Source organism: Homo sapiens, chromosome 22 (genome assembly GCF_000001405.40).
Source record: "Homo sapiens chromosome 22, GRCh38.p14 Primary Assembly".
NCBI lineage: Eukaryota > Metazoa > Chordata > Mammalia > Primates > Hominidae > Homo > Homo sapiens.
The window spans coordinates 17200243-17222839 of record NC_000022.11 but is presented as its reverse complement, the minus strand read 5'-3'; the positions used below and the strand labels follow the sequence as shown (position 1 = coordinate 17222839).

Below are 22597 nucleotides of genomic sequence, written 5' to 3'. Positions count from 1 at the left end.
TCTGCTTCCTTGTGCCCGGTGACTCCCCCACTACTTCAAAAACCTTCCATTTTCTTGCTGCCAGGGAAAGCGGTGTGGTGGAACCCACCTGGGCCTGCAAGGCCGTGCTATGCTTGTTACTAGCTGTGTGACCTTGGGCAAGTTACCTTACTGCCAGGTGCTTCAGGGTACGCCTCTCTCAAGTGGGGATTGCAATAGTCCCTACCTTATAAGATTGCTGCAAGGATTAAATGAGTATATATACACACACACACATACACACACATATTTGTATATACTCATTTATAGGTATGTATTGCTGTAGGGATTAAATGTTATATATATATATATATATATATATATATATATATATATATATATATACACACACACATACATATATAATTCTTAATATGCCTTAGCAATTATTATTTCCATTTTCTTAACTCTGGGTCAGAGAATCTTATTTACCTCATATAACAATCATATATGCAGCACTTTAAACCACTGGTAACTCTGCTATACTCTGTTATAGGTTGTGCATAGCATATAATTCATGATATTGGTGTGAAGAAAGGGATGTTTTAATGAAAATACCTCTCAAATGTTTGTGTAGCCATAGATGATCTTTAATTCTGAAAACCTCTCCTGTCTCCAATTCTGAGGTCATAATCCACCTGTCTCTTCAGGCATCTTTCTGTTGAGGTTTAGTTTTGCAGTCACTAAAAGATGCCTTTGTCCTGTTTTTCTGCCCTGCAGATTTTCAGGTTCTGAACACAAGCCCAGTTTCTGCTTCTGATGATCATTTTCAATAGAGCATAAAAAACAGAGCCATGTTCCACGTTTTTACGGCCTCTGCACTTGGCAAAATATTCTTCCCGAATGGCCTCACGTGTGCTCCCTATCATCACGCCTTTTCAGCTAGGCAACGCTCAGAGTCACACCTGAGTGGAGGCCGACGCCCCTTTGGAGGCGACTCCAGCCATAAAAAGTCCTGCTTGGAGCTGGTTTTAGCCACAGAGGGCCAATAAATGGCCCCTTCTGAATGAGGTGCCCCTGCACCTCTGCAGAGCCTGCTGCCAGCCTCCAGGATCTAACTGGGCTCTGATTCACCGCTCCCAACCCCACATCCAGGTAAGTGTGCCCAGCTCTTGTCTCTGCTTCCACCTCAAGATCTGAGTCTCCACTCCCCAGAACCCGGCAGGTTCTGCCTGACAAGGACCTGCAGTCCTCTGCCAGCTGCCACACCCTTGCCAAGGTGTGACTTGGAGTCCTGGAGCCACCTTCGGAGATGTGAAAATTAGCTCCTACTTTTAGCTAAAGCGTTTGGAAAGAAAAGCTTGATCTTTAGCTTTGACCTGGTCTTTAAAAAAACCCTTCAAGGGGAACATCACACACCAGGGCCTGTCGGGGGGGTCGGGGCTGGGGGAGGGATAGCATTAGGAGAAATACCTAATGTAAATGATGTGTTGATGGGTGCAGCAAACCAACATGGCACAGGTATACCTATGTATCAAACCTGCACATTGTGCACATGTACCCTAGAACTTAAAGTATAAAAAAAACCCACAAAAAACCCTTCACATGATTTACTTTCAGAATTGGTGGTTTCCCTTTGTGCGGCGCTGGAATCAATCTTGTTTCTCCTTATTACTTGCGGTGCATTCTGCTTCCTCTAACTTTCAAAAAATTAGTGTTAAACTCTTTTTTTTTTTTTTGAGACAAAATCTCACTCTGTCATCCAGACTGGAGTGCAATGGTGCAATCTCAGCTCACTGCAACCTCCACCTCCAGGGTTCAAGCAATTCTCCTGCCTCAGCCTCCCAAGTAGCTGGGATTACAGGTGCGCACCACCACACCTAATTTTTGTATTTTAGTAGGGGCTGGTCTCGAACCCCTTCCATTGTGATCCACCTGCCTCGGCCTCCCAAAGTGCTGGGATTACAGGCATGCACCACTGAGCCCAGCCTAGTCTTGAACTCTTGATGAGGGAATCCCTGACCCCTCTGTGTTTTCACTTTGGGATTTCTTCCTGTTTATTAAATGAATGACCTTGGTACTTTTTGGAGAAAATGACAAAAAGGAGCATCAAGGCTCCAGATGTATGGGAGCTGCAGAACTGAAACTGCCGTGGGCTTTTGGGGGTAGATTTGGGGTCTTGGGGGTAGATTTGAGTGGGACTGGGGAGGAGTGGGGTGCAATCGAGTCTTTAGACCATGCATGTGACATGGAGGTCCCTGGTGTAGCCTCCCATGTCTGCATTTCTAATTGGCTTGGATGAGGCATCCCAATAGTTACTTCTAAGAATAGTCATGGCTAATATTTATCAAGAGCTTTCTATGTGGCAGGTACTTTGCATGTGTTTTTCCTTTAATTCTGACAATGGACCCTCTGTGGTGGGTGCTTTTATTATCCACATTTTCAGATGAGGAAACTGAAGTATAGAGAGTTGAAACAACTTGGTCGAGGCCCCACTGCTACAGTGCTAAGGCCAGCTACAAAGCGAGGTCTGACTCTGACCGTCCTGGGTACAGGAGCCTTGTCTGCTCCACTTGTCCCTTGGAGCGTTGTTCTTGCTGGTCCTCTTCACACCCCAGCTCTTGTCTCCTACCTCCTGCCCCCTCTACTGTCCTGTCCCCGCATCCCTGATTTCCCCCCTAAAACATATATTTTATTATAGCTACTTTTTACTCTCTGTCTAATGGGTTGCCCCACAGTCCACAATCACATTTTGAGGAAGGAGAACTTCCCAGAGTTCATGAACAGATTTTGGAGTGCCTCTTTGCGGTGCTTGTTTCCAAAACCAACATGCTGTGGACCTTTCAAAGACACAGTACACACAAACACACACACACCCTCCCTCCAACACAAATAAACCCACATGCGGCCGGGCATGGTGGCTCACGCCTGTAATTCCAGCACTTTGGGAGGCCGAGGTGGGCGGATCACCTGAGGTCAGGAGTTCGAGAGCAGCCTGACCAACATGGTGAAACCCCATTTCTACTAAAAATACAAAAAATCAGTGGGGCATGGTGGCGCACGCCTGCAATCCCAGCTACTCGGGAGGCTGAGGCAGGAGAACTGCTTGAACCCGGGAGGCGGAGGCTGCAGTGAGCTGAGATTGCGCCATTGCACTCCAGCTTGGGCAACAAGAGTGAAACTCTGTCTACAAAAAAAAAAAAAAAAAAAAAAAAACAAACCCCACATGCACATAAACCGAAACACACACGAACACACAAACACCCACATGAACATGCGCACAAGCCCCCCACATCAAACTCAGATGCACACAGCAAGCATGCATGTAAGCCACACACTTGCCACTCTGGCTGCCTCAGCACTGCAGAGCCCCTCTCCCCGGCCTCTAGTTGGATCCCTGGTGCACACTGGAGGGAAATAAAACCTACCCCAACAGGAAGTGAAACAGTTGGTGAGCTTTTCCGGTGCTCTGCACAGATGCTGGGGCGCTGAGCAAACAGCCCTCAGTTTCTGGAGCTGTTCCGAGGTAACTGGGGTCCTTTGGGAGCTGTGGGATGATGAGGTTCAGGAGGTAGCTGGGAAGTCCGGAGCTTGGGCTTGATCCACCTGCACCTCTCCCTGTCTCCATCTGAGCTGGGTCTGAGACTCTCAGTGGAGGAGTAACAGGCTTTCTCCCAACAGGCTTTTGAAAATGGGCCCAAGGGCATTTACTCAGGACCACAGATGCATGTGGCCTACTCCACTGTCACCAGGCTGGAGTGTGGTGGCACGATCTCGGCTCTCTGCAACTTCTGCCTCTCGAGTTCAAGCCATTCTTGTGCCTCAGCCTCCCTAATAGCTGTGATTACAGGCACCCACCACCACGCCCGGCTAATTTTTGTATTTTTAGTAGAGACGGGGTTTCACCGTGTTGGCCAGGCTGGTCTTGAACGACTGACGTCAGGTGATCTGCCTGCCTCGGCCTTCCAAAGGGCTGGGATCACAGGCAGAGCCACCACACCCAGCCTCCTTTCTTCTTAGTCTGGAAGCAAACTACTTTATGAAGTTTTCATGCATCCTCTTTTAAAAGTAAAAGGAAAATCTTGTGGAGGAGAGAAGATGAAGTAGATATAGCAATAAATTGTGAATAAGGATTGTTTTTACTAGTATTCAACCAGGCAGGTCTTGACCACCATTAGATAAACTTCTGTCTGGCAGCCTGGAAAAGTTCACAGTTGCTGGGACACAAATGCTTTTGGGGTCCTTCTTGGAGAGGATGGAGTTGAAGATTTGGGAGCTTGATGGCCTTTGTTATGTGTCACCAGGGAGACAGGGACAAGGGGCGGGGCTGTTGATGGAGAATGTGGCATGGGGTAGGTGGGATGGTGACATAGAAGTCACCGTGCTCCTGCCCTAGAGATTTTAGTAGCAGGCAAACACCGTGGTCAAAAAAGAGAGTCAAGGACTTAATGAAGTTAAAGGGGTTCTGCTGACGTCCAGCACTCTGATTTTGGGGGTACAGCTTCTGCCATAACTGCATATTGCTGATACTAGTTCCTTCTTAAAATTTTCTTTGCTATCTGATGTACTACAGAATAACTGAGCTGGGAAGAATCTTGGATATTAAAATGATTTAATGAGTAGCAAACTTTCCATTTTTGTCATATCCTTGCACCTCTATTTACTTAATATTTTTCTTTAACTTAAAAATTTTTCAACAAAAACAATAATAGTTACGATATCATGGGTTTGATGTGCTAATACATGTTTTAAAATTACCTATCTGTCAACATAACCCCTATCCATTTGTGAGCCACCTAAGATTGTATTTATGCCACTGATGATATTCATGCTGCACTTGGAAAACCACTGATCTTGTCCAAGTTACCTTTTTTGTAGGTGAGGACACTGAGATCTGGAGACGTTAGTGATTTGCCCAAGGTTGCACAGTTAGAATGATACTAATTTGAGGCTGTTCCTAAGGTCTCCTAATTTACAGTCTTGACATGTTCCAGTATGCTGTATCATACTTTCAAGTGTAGAGAAACAATCGTTTTATTTTCATTTTAAAAATTTTATTTACGTATTTATTTTTGAGACAGAGTCTTGCTCTGTCACCCAGGCTGGAGTGCAGTGGTGCAATCTAGGCTCACTGAAACCTCCGCCTCCCAGGTTCAAGAACTTCTCATGCCTCAGCCTCATGAATAGCTGGGACTACAGGTTCAATACACCACGCCTGGCTAATTTTTGTATTTTGGTTTTGCTATGTTGCCCAGGCTGGTATCGAACTCCTGGGCACCAGTGATCTGCCCACCTCAGCCTCCCAAAGTGCTGGGATTATAGGCATGAGCCACTGCCCCTTCTTAAATGTAATTCAAATAGATAACCCAGGTAAAGGAGCAGCATAGAGCCTTGTGTGAGGAGATGCTGAATACATTTCCTTCCTTCAGTCCCTGCTCGTTGCCACCCTGAACTGGCTGCTCTCTGCAAGTTTTGATAATCCTTTCTAATGCTAATGCTCTGAAATACCAAGATGCTGTACCTTGGTGTGGCCACAGAATGATTGACTGTGCTGTGCAAGGTACTCAATCTAAAGACTGTCAGTTCTGGGGCAATTTCTTGTATTCCTTATTGGCTTATTTCCTTCACCTGTTTTTTTTTTCTTTTTCCTTCTGAAATGTCTGTTATTTGGGTGTTGGATTTCTTCAACCAATAATCATCTCATTTTCTTTTCTCCTATTTTGCTTTACTTTTAAAAATATTTTCTTTAACTTCATTTTTAATATTGCTAGTAAATTTTTAAACATTCGGCTTTGCTGTTTTTAATTTCTGAAAGTTCTTTCTAATTCTCATTTTTTTAATCACCTCCTGTTCCTGTTTTACACACACAATGTTTTATGTCTTTAAGGATGTTAATTACAGTTCTTTCAGGTTTTTCTTTTATTTCCTGTGTTGCTTTGTTTCCTCTCAGTTCCTTATCTCTGTGTGTTTTGTTTTGGTTTCTTTCTCAGTTTGAAGCATGTCTTATGATCTTGTGCTCTGGTTATATTTGTTATTTATTTATTTATTTTAACTTTAATCCATTTTATTTGAGTCTCTCTCTCTATATATATGTGTGTGTGTGTGTGTGTTTTTTTTTTTTTTGAGGTGGAGTCTTGCTCTGTTGCCGGGCTGGAGTGCAGTGGCACGAACTCGGCTCACTGCAACCTCTGCCCTCTGGGTTCAAGCAAGTTTCCTGCCTCAGCCTCCCAAGTAGCTGGGATTACAGGCACACGCCACATGGCTAGTTTTTGTATTTTTAGTAGAGACAGGGTTTTGCCATGTTGGCCAGGCTGGTCTTGAACTCCTGACCTTGTGATCCACCTGCCTCGGCCTCCCTAAGTGCTGGGATTACAGGCATGAGCCACCATGCCCGGTCTTAGTTACTCTGAAATATACATAATATTATTGCTAAGTATAGTCACCCTAGTCTACTATGAAACATTAGAACTTATTTCTTCTATCTAACTGTAGGTTTTTTTTTTTCCTGGGAGTGGGGCAGATAGGGTTTCACTCTGTCACCCAGGCAGGAGTGCAATGGCACCATCATGGCTCACTGCAGCCTTGACCTCCCAGACTCAAGTGATCCTCCCACCTCAGCCTGCTGAGTAGCTGGGAGTACAGGTGTGTACCACTACACATGGATAATTTTTATTATTATATTTATTTATTTATTTTGAGATGAAGTCTTGCTTCTTCCCCAGGCTGGAGTGCAGTGGTGCGATATCGGCTCACTGCAACCTCCGCCTCTCAGGTTCAAGCGATTCTCCTGCCTCAGCCTCCTGTGTAGTTGGGATTACAGGTGCACGCCACCACGCCTGACTAATTTTTGTATTTTTAGTAGAGATGGGGTTTCACCATGTTGGTCAGGCTGGTCTCGAACTCCTGACCTCGTGATCTGCCTGCCGATAATTTTTAAATTTTTTGTAGAGATGGGGGTCTCGCTTTGTTGCCCAGGCCAGTCTTCAACTTCTAGGCTCAAGTGATTCTCCTGCCTCAGCCTCTTGAAGTGCTTGTCTATTTGTACCCATAACCAACTTCTCTTCATCCCCCATGTCTACCCCAACCCTTCATAGTCTCTGGTGTCTATCTTTCTATTCTCTATATCTATGAGATCAACTTCCTTAGCTCTCACACATGAGTGGGAACATACGGTGTTTGTCCTTCTGTGTCTGGCTTATTTCATTTAACATTATGTCTTCTAGTTCCGTGCATGTTGGTGCAAATGACGTGATTTCTTTTTTCTTTTTTTTTTTTTGAGACGGAGTCTTGCTCTGTCGCCCAGGCTGGAGTGCAATGGCATGATCTCGGCTCACTGCAACCTCCGCCTCCTGGGTTCAAGCAATTCTCCTGCCTCAGCCTCCTGAGTAGCTGGGATTACAGGCATCCGCCACCACGCTCAGCTAATTTTTGTATTTTTAGTAGAGACGGGGTTTCACCATGTTGGTCAGGCTGGTCTCAAACCCCTGACCTCGTGATCCACCTGCCTCCTGCCTCGGCCTCCCAAAGTGCTGGGATTACAGGCGTAAGCCACCGTGCCCAGCCCGTGATTTCATTTTTTAATGGCTGAGTAGTATTCCATTGTGTATATATGCCACATTTTCTTTCTTTTTTAAATAACTGGCTTCTGCTTTCTTGTGTAATTTACACAGGAGAACCCCAAATTCCACACTTTGTTTTTCTCTTCTGCCTTTGTTATTCTTTCAGTATGTATGTCCACAGAGATTGTTTCTCCCAATAGCATATGCGGTTTGATCCTCAACCAGGACACACAGGCCCTACAAAATCCCAGCCCTCCAAGACGGATGCCTGGGCCCTCCCATTTGACTGCACCCATGTCTGTTTGTACTGGGGCTCTGCCCTGGTCCTGTCACCCCTGAGGTGTCCTTAGGGTAGGAATGCCAGACAGGCTCCGTGTGATGTGTCAACTCTGAATAAATACAAGAGGCTGCTAGGAGCCCCCAGCTGAGGATTGACAGGCAGGCTATATCTGGGCTCCATTTCAAAGAATGCTGTGATCCATTAGCAATGTCTGCCATGGCAATACCCATTAGGAGTACCTGGAAGGAGGGTTTTGGGGAATGGGCTCAGAAAGGAACAAAGTGTTTCCTTCCATTCTTGCCTTAGGTGGCTGTTCTGCCACCCAGGCTGTGCTGTCTCAGTGGCCAGTGGCTGAGGAGGAAGTCTGAAGGCCACAGAGTTGCAAATGGCTTCCCTGGGGCCTGCAGGACCAGCATAGGCCCCAAGCTAGAGGAAGCTTGGAGGGGCACCCATGCTGGGTCCTGCGGAGCTCTGCATACTACAGGCCACCCTGGCATTAGCTCCTTATCCTCTGGAGTCCATCTGATCCTGGAGAAGACAGCTGGCTGGCCTCAGAGCGTTAGATGCAACTCGGGGATAAAAACATTTTTACATGGTACGGACACAGAAATGGGCTTTACCTCTGAATAAACTTAGAAACTTTCCATCCGAACTAAAAGGGTGTATCTTCTATATGTTGCCAAGAAACCTAAACTGAGTACAAGGACAATTTTACTTTAATCAAGTTACAGAATGAGGGTACACAGCTTCGAAAAGCAGTTTGTAGCAGAAGATGCGAGGGTGTGTGTAAAGCCATGTTTCTAGAATATACCAAAGGAAACACACACAACCCCAGCATGGCCTTTTGCCAACCCTCGATGCTGCTCCCTACTGGGGGCAGGCGGCTATTTCGTCCAGCTGACTCTGGGAATGTAATGCTCCGTGAGTGTGTCCAGGTGTCTGTTGAAGTCCTCCACTCTCTGCTTGTGGGTTTTGGATGCTATTTTTTTTTTTTTTTTTTTTTGAGACAGAGTTTCGCTCTTGTTGCTCAGGCTGGAGTGCAATGGAACAATCTTGGCTCACTGCAACCTCTCCCTACCGGGTTCAAGCGATTCTCCTGCCTCAGCCTCCTGAGTAGCTGGAATTACAGGCACACACCACCACGCCCAGCTAATTTTTTGTATTTTTAATAGAGACGGGGTTTCACCGTGTTGGCCAGACTGGTCTTGAACTCCTGACTTCAGGTGATCCACCCGCCTCAGCCTCCTGAAGTGCTGGGATTACAGGCGTGAGTCACCAAGCCTGGCCTGGATGCTTTCTTGAGGATCCTTTCCATTGCCGCTTCTCCTGCATTTTCTCAAAGGCTGCGCGGGCCGGGGTCCACTTGTCCAGGCCGTGCTGCTTCTCCTCCTCATTCTTTTTGTTCATTCCCATTGATTCCGGGAGTTTAGCTTTGTCTTTGTCCTTCTTTTTCTTCTTCCGCTTGGTCACTCTGAGCTCTGCGACGCCTTTCAGCTTTAGAAGTCCTTTTTGTACCTGCTCGTAGGCATCCACGACACTCCCCGGTGCTTCGGTAGATGGACTTGCCACGTTTTCTTTATCCGTTGATCTGTTGGTGGACACTTGGGTTGTTTCCATAACTTTGCTATTGTGAATAGTGCTGCAATAAGCATCCGAGTACAGGTATCCCTTTGACATACTGATTTCCTTCCCTTTGGATAGATACCCAGTAATGGGATTGCTGGATCGTATGGTAGTTCTATTTTTAGTTTTTCAAGAAATATCCATACTGTTCTCCATAGTGGCTGTACTAGTTTACACTCCCACCAGTGGTGTAAGGAGCTCCCTTTTCTCTACATCCTCACCAGCATCTGTTATTTTTTGCCTTTTAAGTAATAGCCATTTTTTGAGATGGGGTGAGACGATCTCATTGTAGTTTTGATTTGCACTCCCCCAGTGATTAGAAAAAATGTTGGCTGGGCCTGGTGGCTCAGATCTATAATCCCAGAATGTCGGGAGGTAGAGGCAGGAGGATCGCTTGAGCCCAGGAGTTTGAGACCAGCCATGGCAACATAGTGAGACCCTGTCTCTAAAGAAAAAAAAAAAATTAGCTGAGTGTAGTGGTACTACACTCAGCTACTCAGGAGGCTAGGGTGGGAGGATTCCTTGAAGCCGGGAGGTTGCCGCTGCAGCGAGCTTTGGAGTCCAACCAAGTGGACTCACGCTACTGCATTCCAGCCTGGGCAACAGAGTAAGACCCTGTCTCAAGGAAAAAAAAAAAAGAAAGAAAGAAAGCAAAGCAAAGAAAAAAATTTGGGCATTTATTCGTATACGTATTGGCCATTTTGTATGTCTTTGGGTCTTTGGCCATTTTTTAAGTGAGATTATTTGTCCTTTTACTGTTGAGTTGTTTGATTTCCTTATATAGTCTGGATATTAGCTCTCCATCAGATAACTAATTTGTAAATATTTTCTCCTATTCAAGAGATTGGCCGGGCATGGTGACTCACGCCTGTAATCCCAGCACTTTGGGAGGCCAAGGCAGGAGGATCACCTGAGGTCAGGAGTTCAAGACCAGCCTGGGCAACATAGTGAAACTCCGTCTCTACTACAAATACAAAAAAATTAGCCGGGCCTGGTGGCACATGCCTGTAGTCCCAGCTACTCAGGAGCTGGGAGGCTCAGGCAGAAGAACTACTTGGACCAGGGAGACGGAGATTGCAGTGAGCCAAGAAAAGGCTGGGCACGGTGGCTCATGTCTGTAATGCCAGTACTTTAGGAGTCCGAGTCTGGTGGATCACCTGAGGTCAGGAGTTCGAGACCAGCCTAACCAACGTGGTGAAACCCCATCTCTATTAAAAATATAAAAAAATTAGCCGGGCGTGGTGGCACGTGTCTGTAATCCCAGCTAGTCTGGAGGCTGAGGCAGGAGAATCGCTTGAACCTGGGAGGAGGAGGTTACGGTGAGCCGAGATCGCGCCATTGTACTCCAGCCTGGTTGACAAGAGCGAAACTCCGTCCCCCACAAAAGAAAAGAAAAGAAAAGAAAAGAAAAAAATAGGTTGTCTCTTCATTCTGTTAATTGTTTCTTTGCTATTTAATTAATTAATTAATTAATTTTTTTTTCCTCTTTTTTTGAGACGGAGTCTCACTCTGTTGGCAGGCTGGAGTGCAGTGGCACGATCTTGGCTCACTGCAACCTCCGCCTCCCGGATTCAAGCAATTCTCCTGCCTCAGGCTCCTGAGTAGCTGGGACTACAGGTGCATGCCACCACGCCCAGCTAATTTTTGTATTTTCAGTAGAGACGGGGTTTCACCATGTTGGCCAGGATGCTCTCGATCTCTTGACCTCGTGATCCGTCCACCTCAGCCTCCCAAAGTGCTGGGATTACAGGGGTGAGCCACTGCGCCTGGCCAATTCATTTATTTATTAGAGAGGATATGACATTGTTACCCAGGTTGGATTGCAGTGGCGCAATTTTGGCTCATTGCATCCTCGATTTCCCAGGCTCAGGTGAACTTCCCACCTCAGCCTCCCCAGTAGCTGGGACTATAGGTGTGCACAACCACGCCCAGCTAATTTTTGTATCTTTTGTAGAGATGGAGTTTCAACATGTTGCTGAGAATGGTCTTGAATTCCTGGGCTTGAGCAATCCACCTGCTGTGCCAGCACCTGGTCTTATTTTAATTTTATTTATTTATTTTGAGATTGAGTCTTGCTCTGTCGCCCAGGCTGGAGTGCAGTGGCGCGAACTCAGCTTATTCTAACCTCTGCCTCCTGGGTTCAAGTGATTCTCCTGTCTCAGCCTCCCAAACAGCTGGGACTACAGGCATGCGTCACCATGCCCAGCTAATTTTTGTATTTTTAGTAGGACGGGTTTTCATCATATTGGCCAGGCTGGTCTCAAACTCCTGACCTCGTGATCCACCCGCCTCGGCCTCCTGAAGTGTTGGGATTACAGGCGTGAGCCACCGCGCCCAGCCGTATTTTTATTTTTTAATAAAAAAATATTTTTTTTAGAGACAAGGTCTTGATCTGTTGCCAAGGCTGGAGTGCAGTGGTGAGGTCAAAGCTCATTGCAGCCTCAAAGTACTGGGCTCAAGTGATGCTCCCGCTTCAGCCTCCTGAATAGCTGGGACCACAGGCATGCTGGTTATATTTAAAAGTAAAACACTGGCTGGACATGTTGGCTCATGCCTGTAGTCCCAGCACTTTGGGAGGCTGAGATGAGTGGATCACTTGAGGCTAGGAGTTCAAGACCAGCCTGGCCAATATGGTCTCTATTAAAAATACAAAAATTAGCTGGGTATGGTGACGCGTGCCTGTAGTCCCAGCCACTTGGGAGGCTGAGGCACGAGAATCGCTTAAACCCTGGAGGCGGAGGTTGTAGAGGGCCAAGATCACGTCACTGCAGTCCAGCCTGGGTGACAGAGCAAGACTCTGTCTTAAAAAAAACAAAAATTAAAATAAATAAAATAAAATAAAAGTGAACCACTAAAAATCAGATTGCAGTGTCTTTATGCATGAGCCAGGGCTTGTTTGACCTCATGGTGACCTTTAATTTGGGAAAACCTGCCGGGCGCGGTGACTCATGCCTGTAATCCCAGCACTTTGGGAGACTGAGGCTGGCGGATCACCTGAGGTCAGGAGTTCGAGACCAGCCTGACCAACATGGAGAAACCCCGTCTCTACTAAAAATACAAAATTAGCCGGGCGTGGTGATGCATGCCTGTAATCCCAGCTATTTGGGAGGCTGAGGCAGGAGAAGCACTTGAACCCGGGAGGCGGAGGTTGCAGTGAGCCGAGATCACACCATTACACTCCAGCCTAGGCAACAAGAGTGAAACTCCATCTCAAAAAAAAAAAAAAATGCCAGGTGGTGCAGTGGCTCACGCCTGTAATCCCAGCACTTTGGGAGGCCCAGGCGGGCAGATCACGAGGTCAGGAGATCGTGACCATCCTGTCTAACACAGTGAAACCCCGTCTCTACTAAAAATACAAAAAATTAGCCGGGCATGGTGGCGGGCACCTGTAGTCCCAGCTACTCGGGAGGCTGAGGCAGGAGAATGGTGTGAACCCAGGAGGCGGAGCTCGCAGTGAGCCGAGATTGCACCACCGTGCTCCAGCCTGGGCAGCAGAGCGAGACTCCGTCTCAAAAAAAAAAAAAAAAAAATTGGGAAACCCCTACCTGTCTGTACCTGTAGGTCTTTTCTCTGGGGTCTGGAAGAAGAATCCTTCAATATCTTGCCTTCTGGTAATCTGAGAGCAGGGCGAGAAAAGGAAGATCAGAGTTCCACCCTTAAATCTGTAGGTTTTCACTCCCCCACTCTCCTTTGCAGTCCCGTGGAGTCTCCATCTGAGCCCTTTCCTAGTCCAGGCATCCCGATGTTGGTGGATGGCCCATCTGAGCGGCCAGCCCTGTGCTTCTTGCTGTTGGCTGTGGCAATGTCTTTCTTCGGCTCAGCTCTATCCATAGATGAAACACGGGCGCATCTGTTGTTGAAAGAAAAGATGATGCGGCTGGGGGGGCGGCTGGTGCTGAACACCAAGGAGGAGCTGGCCAATGAGAGGCTCATGACGCTCAAAATCGCTGAGATGAAGGAGGCCATGAGGACCCTGATATTCCCACCCAGCATGCACTTTTTCCAGGCCAAGCATCTCATTGAGAGAAGTCAAGTGTTTAATATTCTAAGGATGATGCCAAAAGGTAAGGTTTGGAAAGGGGTGGCTTGGGGTGCTGGGAAGGTAGAGGGACTCATCTTGGGGCTATTACTGTGCTTGTGGCTGTTGCTATTCTAGATGGAGCAGAGAAAGCCTCACTCAGCTGTTCTGCTCCTCTGTCCTTATGGGTAGACTAGGAAAAGGGTGTTGAAAACCAAAACCCCTGCTTCCTGGGGGACTCGCAGACAGTCAGGATTGGAAAAGCATCCAGCCCTGAGACTTTGCTATTCCCTTTTTAGTTTTCCCAGGGGCTAAGCTACCACATAGGATACAATGTGATATAGCATCCTGGAGTAGTATAAACACACCTCCATGAAACATGAAATAATTAGCATCCCGCACATATAAATAGCCAGGGGTGGTGGTGCACCTGTAATCCGAGCTACTCTGGAGGCTGAGTGGAGAGTATCGCTTGAGCCCAGGAGGTGGAGTTTGCAGGGAGCTATGATGGCACCTCTGCACTCCAGCCTGGGCGACAGAGCAAGACCCTGTTCCCCAAAAAATGTTAATTTTTTTTTTTATTAAAAAAAATTTTTTTTGAGACAGAGTCTCACTCTGTTGCCCAGGCTGAAGTGCACTGGTGTGATCTTGGCTCACTGCAACCTCTGCCTCCCAGGTTCAAGTGATTCTCCTGCCTCAGCCTCCTGAGTAGCTGGGATTACATGCATGAACCACCACACCTGGATAATTTTTGTACTTTTAGTAGAGACGGGGTTTCACCATGTTGGCCAGGCTGATCTCGAACACCTGAGCTCAGGCAATCCACACTCCTCGGCCTCCCAAAGTGCTGGGATTACAGGTGTGAGCCACTGCACCTGGCCAAAAATGTTAATTTAAAATGTAAAAATAATAGCAGCTTGCAGTTTACAAAGACTTAACACCTGTTTTTTTTTTTTCTTTTTTTTTCTTTTTTTTTTTGAGACGGAGTCTTGTTCTGTCGCCCAGGCTGGAGTGCGGTGGCGTGATCTCAGCTCACTGCAACATCCTTCTTCCAGGTTCAAGCAATTCTCCTGCCTCAGCCTCCCGAGTAGCTGGGATTACAGGCACATGCCACCATGCCTGGCTAATTTTTGTATTTTTAGTAGAGATGGGGTTTCACCATGTTAGTCAGGCTGGTCTCGAACTCCTGACCTCGTGATCTGCCTGCCTCGGCCTCCCAAAGTGCTGGGGTTACAGGAGTGAGCCACTGTGCCCAGCTGTTTTTTTTTCTTTTAATGTTATAAATAGAGATTTAAAAAATAATAATAATCGTGAGGTCAGTAAAGTAGCATCCCCAGTTGCTGGGAGGCATAAGAGGGTGTCTGGGGGCTCGTGTCAGGGCCAGGGGCTGGATGGGCACAAGAAGCGCAGAGGGACAGCATGCACTGTGCCTAGGGGAGCAAGGGGCACAGCTGGTGTCTGGTGGGGAGGACAAGCATGGGGATTCAACTGGCAAAGCCTGCAGGCCAGAAGCTGTACAGACACAGGCCCAGCGCAGGGGATGAAAAGCCAGTGGGAGAGGAGTTGAGGGGCAGGATGAGAGGATGGAGGACAAGTGTGTGAAAAGGACCGTGGCCCTGGGGCTCATCCCAGTGTATCCCGTCATGCAGTGTTGGGTGGCCTCATTGAAAGGCCTGGGCTCCCATTGGAGAGCTAGAAGCCAATGGAGCCCTGACTTGAACCTCAGTTCTCTGGTTCCAAGCCTGATGCCCTCTCACTCTCCCATGCTGCCCCTCTTGGACAAGATCACCCCTGGCTCCTGATTAGTGAGACATGGAAGCCCCATCCTTAAACTAGAGCCTTAAACAAGTTCCGAGAAACATGTCTGGACAGAAATCCTTCTGCTTGCACGTCTTCTTGTGATCCACACTGTCCCCAAGCCCCGGAGCCCTGGGATGGGACTTCACCCCTTTGTCCCCAAGCCCCGGAGCCCTGGGATGGGACTTCACCCCTTTGTCCCCACAGCCCCAGAGTCCTGGGATGGGACTTCACCCCCTCCTTTGTCCCCAAGCCCTGGAGTCCTGGGATGGGACTTCACCCCTTTGTCTTCACCATTCTTCTTCCCTCTCCAGGGGCTGCCTTGCACCTCCATGACATTGGCATCGTGACTATGGACTGGCTGGTGAGGAATGTCACCTACAGGCCTCACTGCCACATCTGTTTCACCCCAAGGGGGATCATGCAGTTCAGATTTGCTCACCCAACTCCCCGTCCATCAGAAAAATGTTCCAAGTGGATTCTGCTGGAGGATTATCGGAAGCGGGTGCAGAACGTCACTGAGTTTGATGACAGGTGAGTAGTAGTTCAGAAAGCACATGTCCCAGGCCTGTCATGGGGTGGCAGTGGGTAGGTGTCTCCCTTGGTACAAACCTATAGATAAAAATCTGGCTTTAATAAAACATGAGGCAAGGCTGAGTGCGGTGGTTCACGCCTATAATCCCAGCACTTTGGGAGGCCAAGGCGAGCGGATCACTTGAGCCCAGGAGTTGCCAGTCTGGTCAACATGGTGAAAGCCCATCTCTACCAAAAATACAAAAAATTAGCCAGGTGTGGTGCTGCACCTGTAGTCCCAGGTACTTGGGAGGCTGAGGCAGGAGGATCACTTTAACCCAGGAGGATCACTTTAACCCAGGAGGTTGAGGCCACAGTGAACTGAGATGGAGCCACTGTACTCCAGCCTGAGTGACAAAATAAAACCCTATCTCAAAAAAAAAGCATGAGCACCTTTTTCTTTTAACCTTGCAGGATACTTTGCTCCACAAAAGCATTCAACACCTTTTCTATCCATAGTAGTTTTTCTGGTGCATTTAAAATCTACAAAAAGCATTATCAGCAACACTATTTTTGTTTGTTATTATTATTGTTATTTATTATTATTATTATTTGAGACAGGGTCTTGCTCTGTCACCCAGGTTGGAGTGTAGTGGCGTGATCTTGGCTCACAGCAGCCTGATCTTGGCTCACAGCAGCCTCTGCCTCCCGGGTTCAAGTGATTTTCCTGCCTCAGCTTTCTGAGTAGCTGGGATTACAGACATGTGCCACCATGCCTGGCTAATTTTTGTATTTTTAGTAGAGACAGGGTTTCACCATGTTGGCCAGGCTGGTCTTGAACTCCTGACCTCAGGAGATCTGCCCATCTTGGCCTCCCAAAGTGCTGAGATTACAGGCATGAGTGACCATGCCTAGTCAGCAACACTATTGCTGTAGCAAATGAGATTTGTCTGATGCTCAATAAAACCAGAGAGAATAAAAGTTCCTAGCTCTGAAGTGATGACAATCTAGCTGGAAGATAAATCTTCTTGAAAATCTGATGCAGCAACTTCCTAACAGACTTGTATAGTATCATTATTATTATTACTATTTAAGACAGGGTCTCATTCTATCATCTAGGCTGGAGTGCAGTGGCACAATCTCGGCTCACTTCAGACTCAACCTCCCAGGCTGAAGCAATCCTCCTGTGTCAGCCTCCTGTGTCAGCTGAAGCAATCCTCCTGTGTCAGCACACTAGAGGTGTGCACCATCATGCCCAGCTAATTTTTGTATTTTTTGTGAGATGGGGTTTTGCCGTGTTGCCCAGGCTGGTCTTGAACTCTGCGGCTCAAGCCGTCCTCTCACCTTGGCCTCCCAAAGTGCTAGGACTACAGGCATGAGCCGAGCCATTGTGCCTGGCATTGTATAGTAATATTATAAGTGACAATTAATTTGGTCACAGAAATGTCTACAGAGTGCCCCCCTGAGGTTACTTCCCTTTATGAAATGAGAAACGTGAAGCTGAGCAAGGTTAATTAGCTTATGCAAGGACACACAGCTGGTAAATGGCCAGTTGGGGATACAAACCTGGGTGCTGATTCGAGTTATTTCCATTCCACTCCCTTCATTAACCTGCTCGAGCTGCCATAACAGAATACCACAGGCTGGGGAGCTTAAACAATAGGAACTGATTTTCTCAAGCCGGGCACACTGGGTCATGCCTGTAATCCTAGCACTTCGGGAGGCTGAGGTGGGAGGATCACTTGCACCCAGGAGTTCAAGACCAGCCTGGTGGCCGGGTGTGGTGGCTCATGCTTGTAATCCTAACACTTTGGGAGACCGAGGTGGGCGGATCACTTGAGGTCAGGAGTTCAAAACCAGCCAGGCCAACATGGTGAAACCCTGTCTCTACTAAAAATACAAAAAAATTAGCCGTGCATGCTGGCAGCCACCTGTAATCCCAGCTACTCGGGAGGCCAAGGCAGGAGAATCACTTGAACCTGGGAGGCGGAGGTTGCAGAGAGCTGAGATCATGCTACTGCACTCCAGCCTGGGCGACAGAGCAAGATTCTGTTTAAAAAAAAAAAGAAAGAAAGAAAGACCAGTCTGGGCAACATAGTGAGATCCCCATCTCAACAAAAAATAAAAAATTAACCAGATGTGGTGGTGTACACCTATAGTCTCAGCTACCCCAGGGGGCTGACATAAGAGGATTGCTTGAGCCTGGGAGATTGAGGCTGCAGCGAGCTGTGATTGTGACACTGCACTCCAGCCTGGGCAACAGAGTGAGACCCTGTTTCAAAAAAAAAAAAAAAAAAGAAGGAATTGATTTTCTCATGGTTCTGGAGGCTGGAAGTCTAAGATCAAGGTGCCAGGGCAGGGGTGGTTCCTCCTGAGACCTCTGTCCTTGGCGTGCAGAAGGCGCCTCTGGCTGTGTACTCACATGGCCTTTCCTCTGTATGTGCACTCCTGCGGTCTCTTCTTCTTCTTCTTTTTTTTTTTTTGAGATGAGTCTTGCTGTGTCGCCCAGGCTGGAGTACAGTGGTGCGATCTCAGCTCACTACAACCTCCACTTCCAGGGTTCAAACAATTCTCTTGCCTCCCTAGTAACTGGGATTACAGGGACAAACCACCACGCCTGGCTGATTTTTGTATTTTAGTAGAGATGGGGTTTCACTATGTTGGCCAGGCTGATCTCGAACTCCTGACCTCAAATGATCCACCCATCTTGGCCTCCCAAAGTGTTGGGATTACAGGCGTGAGCCACCACGCCTGGCCTCCTCTTCTTACAAGGACACCCATCTTATTAGGGTAGAGCCCCATCCTTACAACCTCATTTAGTCTTAATCATCTCTTTAAAATTCCCTTCTCCAAATGAGGGCTAGGGCTTCAATATTTGAATTTGGGGGTTTGGGGACACAAGTTAGTCCATAACATTCCCCAAAAAGAGCTTGGTCTAGTTTCCTGTCAGTGGGTATAGGAAGAAAAAAAGAGAGAGAGAGAGAGCTTTTTGGTCTAGAAAGTACAGTGGGGTCAGACTGGCCAAGCATACAGAGGGAGGACAGGAGCCAGGAGAGACTGACTGGTGAGCTCTCATCTTAAGCAGTCTCCTGCGTTTGGGGTTTGGGTTTAAGCAGGCAGTGGGCTGCCTGGCCACAGGACCCATGCTTATATCGTGAGCGTGGGAATGCTCCCCTTTGCCCCTTCCTTATCTCCACTCTAGGGTGAATCCTGTGAGCTGCTAGCTGGGATATGCAAGGTGGGTAGCAGTCCTATGGGCGCCCGGGGGCAGTGTCCTGGATCATGCCTCTGCCACTCCCCACTTCGTGTCTTGGACAGCTTGCTGAGGAATTTCACTCTGGTGACCCAGCACCCGGAGGTGATTTACACAAACCAAAATGTTGTCTGGTCGAAATTTGAAACCATCTTCTTCACCATCTCTGGTCTCATCCATTACGCACCAGTGTTCAGAGACTATGTCTTCCGGAGCATGCAGGAGTTCTACGAGGACAACGTGCTCTACATGGAGATCAGAGCCAGGCTGCTGCCGGTGAGCCCAGCTCTCCTCTCTGTTCCTCCCACCTCCTTTGCTCTGGCCTGACTCAGATCTTAGCTGGTAGAAGACTGAATGCTCATGAATTGACCACTCAGGTCTCTGGTGCAAGGGATCATGTGCCTTTCCAGGGGCCAACATGAGCAAGGAAACCTGAAATGGACTGGGCAGCCTCCAGCAAAACTGGGAACACATTCCGTGCTGCCCTTTGCCCCCCTGTTTCTCATGGTTCCCCGTTCTCCCCTCTGCCATGATACTCAGGGCCTCGTGACATAAGCTGAGAAGGAGAATTGGGATAGAGCCATCTTAGGGGCCAAAACAAGGGGTTTGAAAAATAAAAGGAGCCACATGGCAGGGTGAGGGCAAGAGACATGCAGATGCATAATCGTCCATGGGATTTGGAAATTACAAGGTCACCTTTGAGCAGTTTCAGTAACATGCTGAGAAGAGAAACCCCATTTCTGGGAGTAGAAAAATGAAATAGACGGCCGGGCATGGTGGCTCACACCTGTAATCCCAGCACTTTGGGAGGCCGAGGCAGGCAGATCACAAGGTCAAGAGTTTGAGACCAGCCTGGCCAATATGGTGAAACACTGTCTCTACTAAAAATACAAAAAATTAGCCGGGCATGAGCCTGTAGTCCCAGCTACTCGGGAGGCTGAGGCAGGAGAACACTTGAACCTGGGAAGCAGAGATTGCACTGAGCCAAGATCGCACCACTGCACTCCAGCCTGGGTGACAGAGTTAGATGTTGTCTCAAAAAACACACACACACAAAAAAAAAAAGAAAGAAAGGAAAAGAGAAAGAAAAATGAAATACAGGTGATGAATTGGAGCCAGGTTTGGCTGATTAAAGGCTCTGAGTGTGATTTGAGAAAAAGAACATCGAGATAGCTGGAGGGAACCACAGGGGCCACAGGTTTCTTTTTAGGATGGAGAGACTTGTTTTGCACACAGAAGGAAGAAGTGTGGAGAGGTTAAAAAGAGAGGGGAGGCCAGGTGCATTGGCTCATGCCTATAATCCCAGCACTTTGGGAGGCTAAGGCTGGTGGATCACTTGAGGCCAGGAGTTTGAAACCAGCCTGGTCAACATGGCGAAATTCCATCTCTACTAAAAATACAAAAATTAGCTGTTGGCCGGGCGAGGTGGCTCATGCCTGTAATCTCAGCACTCGGGAGGCTGAGGCAGGCGGATCACGAGGTCGAGATCGAGACCATCCTGGCCAACATGGTGAAACCCTGTCTCTACTAAAAATACAAAAATTAGCTGGGCGCGATGGCGCATGCCTGTACTTCTAGCTACTTGGGAGGCTGAGGCAGGAGAATTGCTTGAACCTGGGAGGTGGAGGTTGCAGTGAGCAGAGATTGTGTCATTGCACTCTAGCCTGAGTGACAGAGTGAGACTGTCTCAAAAAAAAAAAAAATTAGCTGGCATGGTGGTGCGCACCTGTAATCAGCTACTCGGGAGGCTGAGGCGGGAGAATCACTTGAACCCAGGGGGAGGAGCTTGCAGTGAGCAGAGATACCGCCATTGCTCTTCAGCCTGGATGACAGAGCGAGACTCCGTCTCAAAAAAAAAAAAAAAAAAAAAAGAAAAAAGAAAAAAAAATTTGATTTTAAGGAAGGAAGTTTGGAGAGAGTGAAATGGAAAGGAGTAGAAAGAGTCCAAAAGAAGGGAGCATCATCAAAAAAATCTGATTTTTGGGTCTTGCATTTTGGCCAGAAGCAAAGGATAACTGAGGTTAGGTACTCTGAGATGGACTGACACCAGGCTCCGTGTTGGTAGGGGAGGGATCTTTCGAGGAGAGCAGCCCTAGGTGCTCAAATACTGCTAGAGTTTTATTTCAGTGAGTTTATTGGAGAGAACTTTCCTGAGGATGTTTTTGTTGGGCTGAGGGAGATGGGGTATTGTGGGAGTGGGCAGGATCCTTGGGTGTTTTATGTGGTGAGCTCAGACGGGTTTGAGCTGGTTAAAGGTTATCAGTGGCTTGGGGAAAGTGACCTTTGGTAGAGTCTTCTCCACATTGTATCCAAGAGAGTCTGCTCGTTCATTTACATATTGATCGGATACACAAATGCCTTGGGGACTGACAGTTAAGCTTGTGGAAAGGCCCACATGGTGGCAGTATTTTAGTTTTGTTAGCATATTCTGTAGGCTTTTATACGCTCCGAAGTTTACTGTTTGTAGACCCAGAAGTGATAGGACTCCGCAGGATCAATACACACTGAACAAATTCATAAGGGATAGATGTGTAAACAAGAAAGTCAGAATGCTGTTATCATTCGGACCAGACACTTATGCTTCATCAGGAAATTCTCCTCTTTTCTTTTCTTTCTTCTTCTTCTTTTTTTTTTTTGACAGAATTTCTGTCGCCCAGGCTGGAGTGTAGTGGTATGATCTTGCCTCACTGCAACCTCCACCTCCCAGGTTCAAGCGATTCTCGTGCCTCAGCCTCCCGAGTAGCTGGGACTACAGATGCACACCACCATGCCTGGCTAATTTTTTGTATTTTCAGTAAATGGGGTTTCACCATGTTGGCCAGGTTAGTCTTGAACTCCTGACCTCAGCTGATCCACTCGTTATTCAAGTTATTCCAGTTTGTGGGTCTCAACTCTCCCTTTGCTTGGCATCCTGGACTGACCCACCTTTTTCCTTAGATATGTTTTTTTTTTTTTTGAGGCAGAGTTTCGCTCTTGTTGCCCAGGCTGGAGTGCAATGGCACCATCTTGGTTTACTGCAACCTCCGCCTCCTGGGTTCAAGGGAACCTCCTGCCTCAGCCTCTGGAATAGCTGGGATTACAGGCGTGCACCACCACACCCAGCTAATTTTTGTATTATTAGTAGAGACAGGGTTTTACCATGTTGGCTAGGCTGGTCTTGCACTCCTGACCTCAGGTGATCCACCCACCTCGGCCTCCCAAAGATTACGAGCCACCATGCCCGGCCTTTTCCTTAGATATGTTAATACCCTTGGTGAGTTTAGCGGCAAGGCTGGATCCTGGAGAGTCCGATCTCTTGTGTGATCTGCATGTCTCCACTTGGATCTGTTGCTTGTTTTCTATTTTAACTCTCTGAGTGCAGAGTTATATTTCCATTTCTGAGTTCTTGAGAAGTGGGAGGGGAACATTAACTTTGCCTTGCAGTGGAGCTTTCATCAGTTTTGTGGACAGAGCAGACAGACAAGACACAGGACACAAATCATCCTTTTAAAAGAAAAGAGAGGGTCTCATCTTTTATTGAGAAAAGAATTTCTGAAAAGGGAGGCGCTGGCAAAAATTGATGAGCTGACTTTGCTCCTGGCCTAGGTAGGCTGGAA

At 47.5% G+C, this 22597-nt stretch overlaps 1 protein-coding gene and 1 pseudogene across 8 annotated transcripts in view, besides 5 other annotated features; one reads left to right on the top strand and one right to left on the bottom strand.

The window, feature by feature from the left end:
* Positions 992–22597, top strand: part of ADA2 (adenosine deaminase 2) — a 43059-nt gene continuing 21453 nt past the window's right edge. For 2 of the 8 annotated variants that reach the window (NM_001282225.2, XM_047441406.1), the window contains exons 1-4: positions 3405–3484; positions 13117–13484; positions 15550–15769; positions 19067–19277. In NM_001282225.2, the coding sequence (NP_001269154.1) occupies positions 13163–13484; positions 15550–15769; positions 19067–19277 (753 nt within the window). In that variant the 5' untranslated portion in view covers positions 3405–3484; positions 13117–13162. Of the gene's footprint in view, positions 1114–3404; positions 3485–13116; positions 13485–15549; positions 15770–18950; positions 18987–19066; positions 19278–22597 lie in introns of those variants that run through there. The other 6 variants (NM_001282227.2, XM_011546133.3, NM_001282228.2 and 3 more) reach the window with 6 other exon arrangements.
* Positions 3618–3747: an enhancer, noted in NCBI's record as "active region_18613". NCBI's record gives its function as "activates an Ori minimal core promoter by ATAC-STARR-seq in GM12878 lymphoblastoid cells {active_cell/tissue: GM12878}" and the evidence as "EXISTENCE:reporter gene assay evidence [ECO:0000049][PMID:35858748]".
* Positions 3618–4028: a biological region, named in NCBI's record as "nonconserved acetylation island sequence 73 enhancer".
* Positions 3668–4028: an enhancer, noted in NCBI's record as "nonconserved acetylation island sequence 73". NCBI's record gives its function as "activates a minimal heat-shock promoter by reporter assays in Jurkat T cells {active_cell/tissue: Jurkat}" and the evidence as "EXISTENCE:reporter gene assay evidence [ECO:0000049][PMID:17135569]".
* Positions 3758–3827: an enhancer, noted in NCBI's record as "active region_18612". NCBI's record gives its function as "activates an Ori minimal core promoter by ATAC-STARR-seq in GM12878 lymphoblastoid cells {active_cell/tissue: GM12878}" and the evidence as "EXISTENCE:reporter gene assay evidence [ECO:0000049][PMID:35858748]".
* FAM32BP (family with sequence similarity 32 member B, pseudogene) lies at positions 7592–9358 on the bottom strand (annotated as a pseudogene).
* Positions 20161–20661: an enhancer, noted in NCBI's record as "H3K4me1 hESC enhancer chr22:17683069-17683569 (GRCh37/hg19 assembly coordinates)". NCBI's record gives its function as "activates a minimal SCP1, AML or CMV promoter by ChIP-STARR-seq in primed H9 embryonic stem cells {active_cell/tissue: H9 hESC(primed)}" and the evidence as "EXISTENCE:reporter gene assay evidence [ECO:0000049][PMID:30033119]".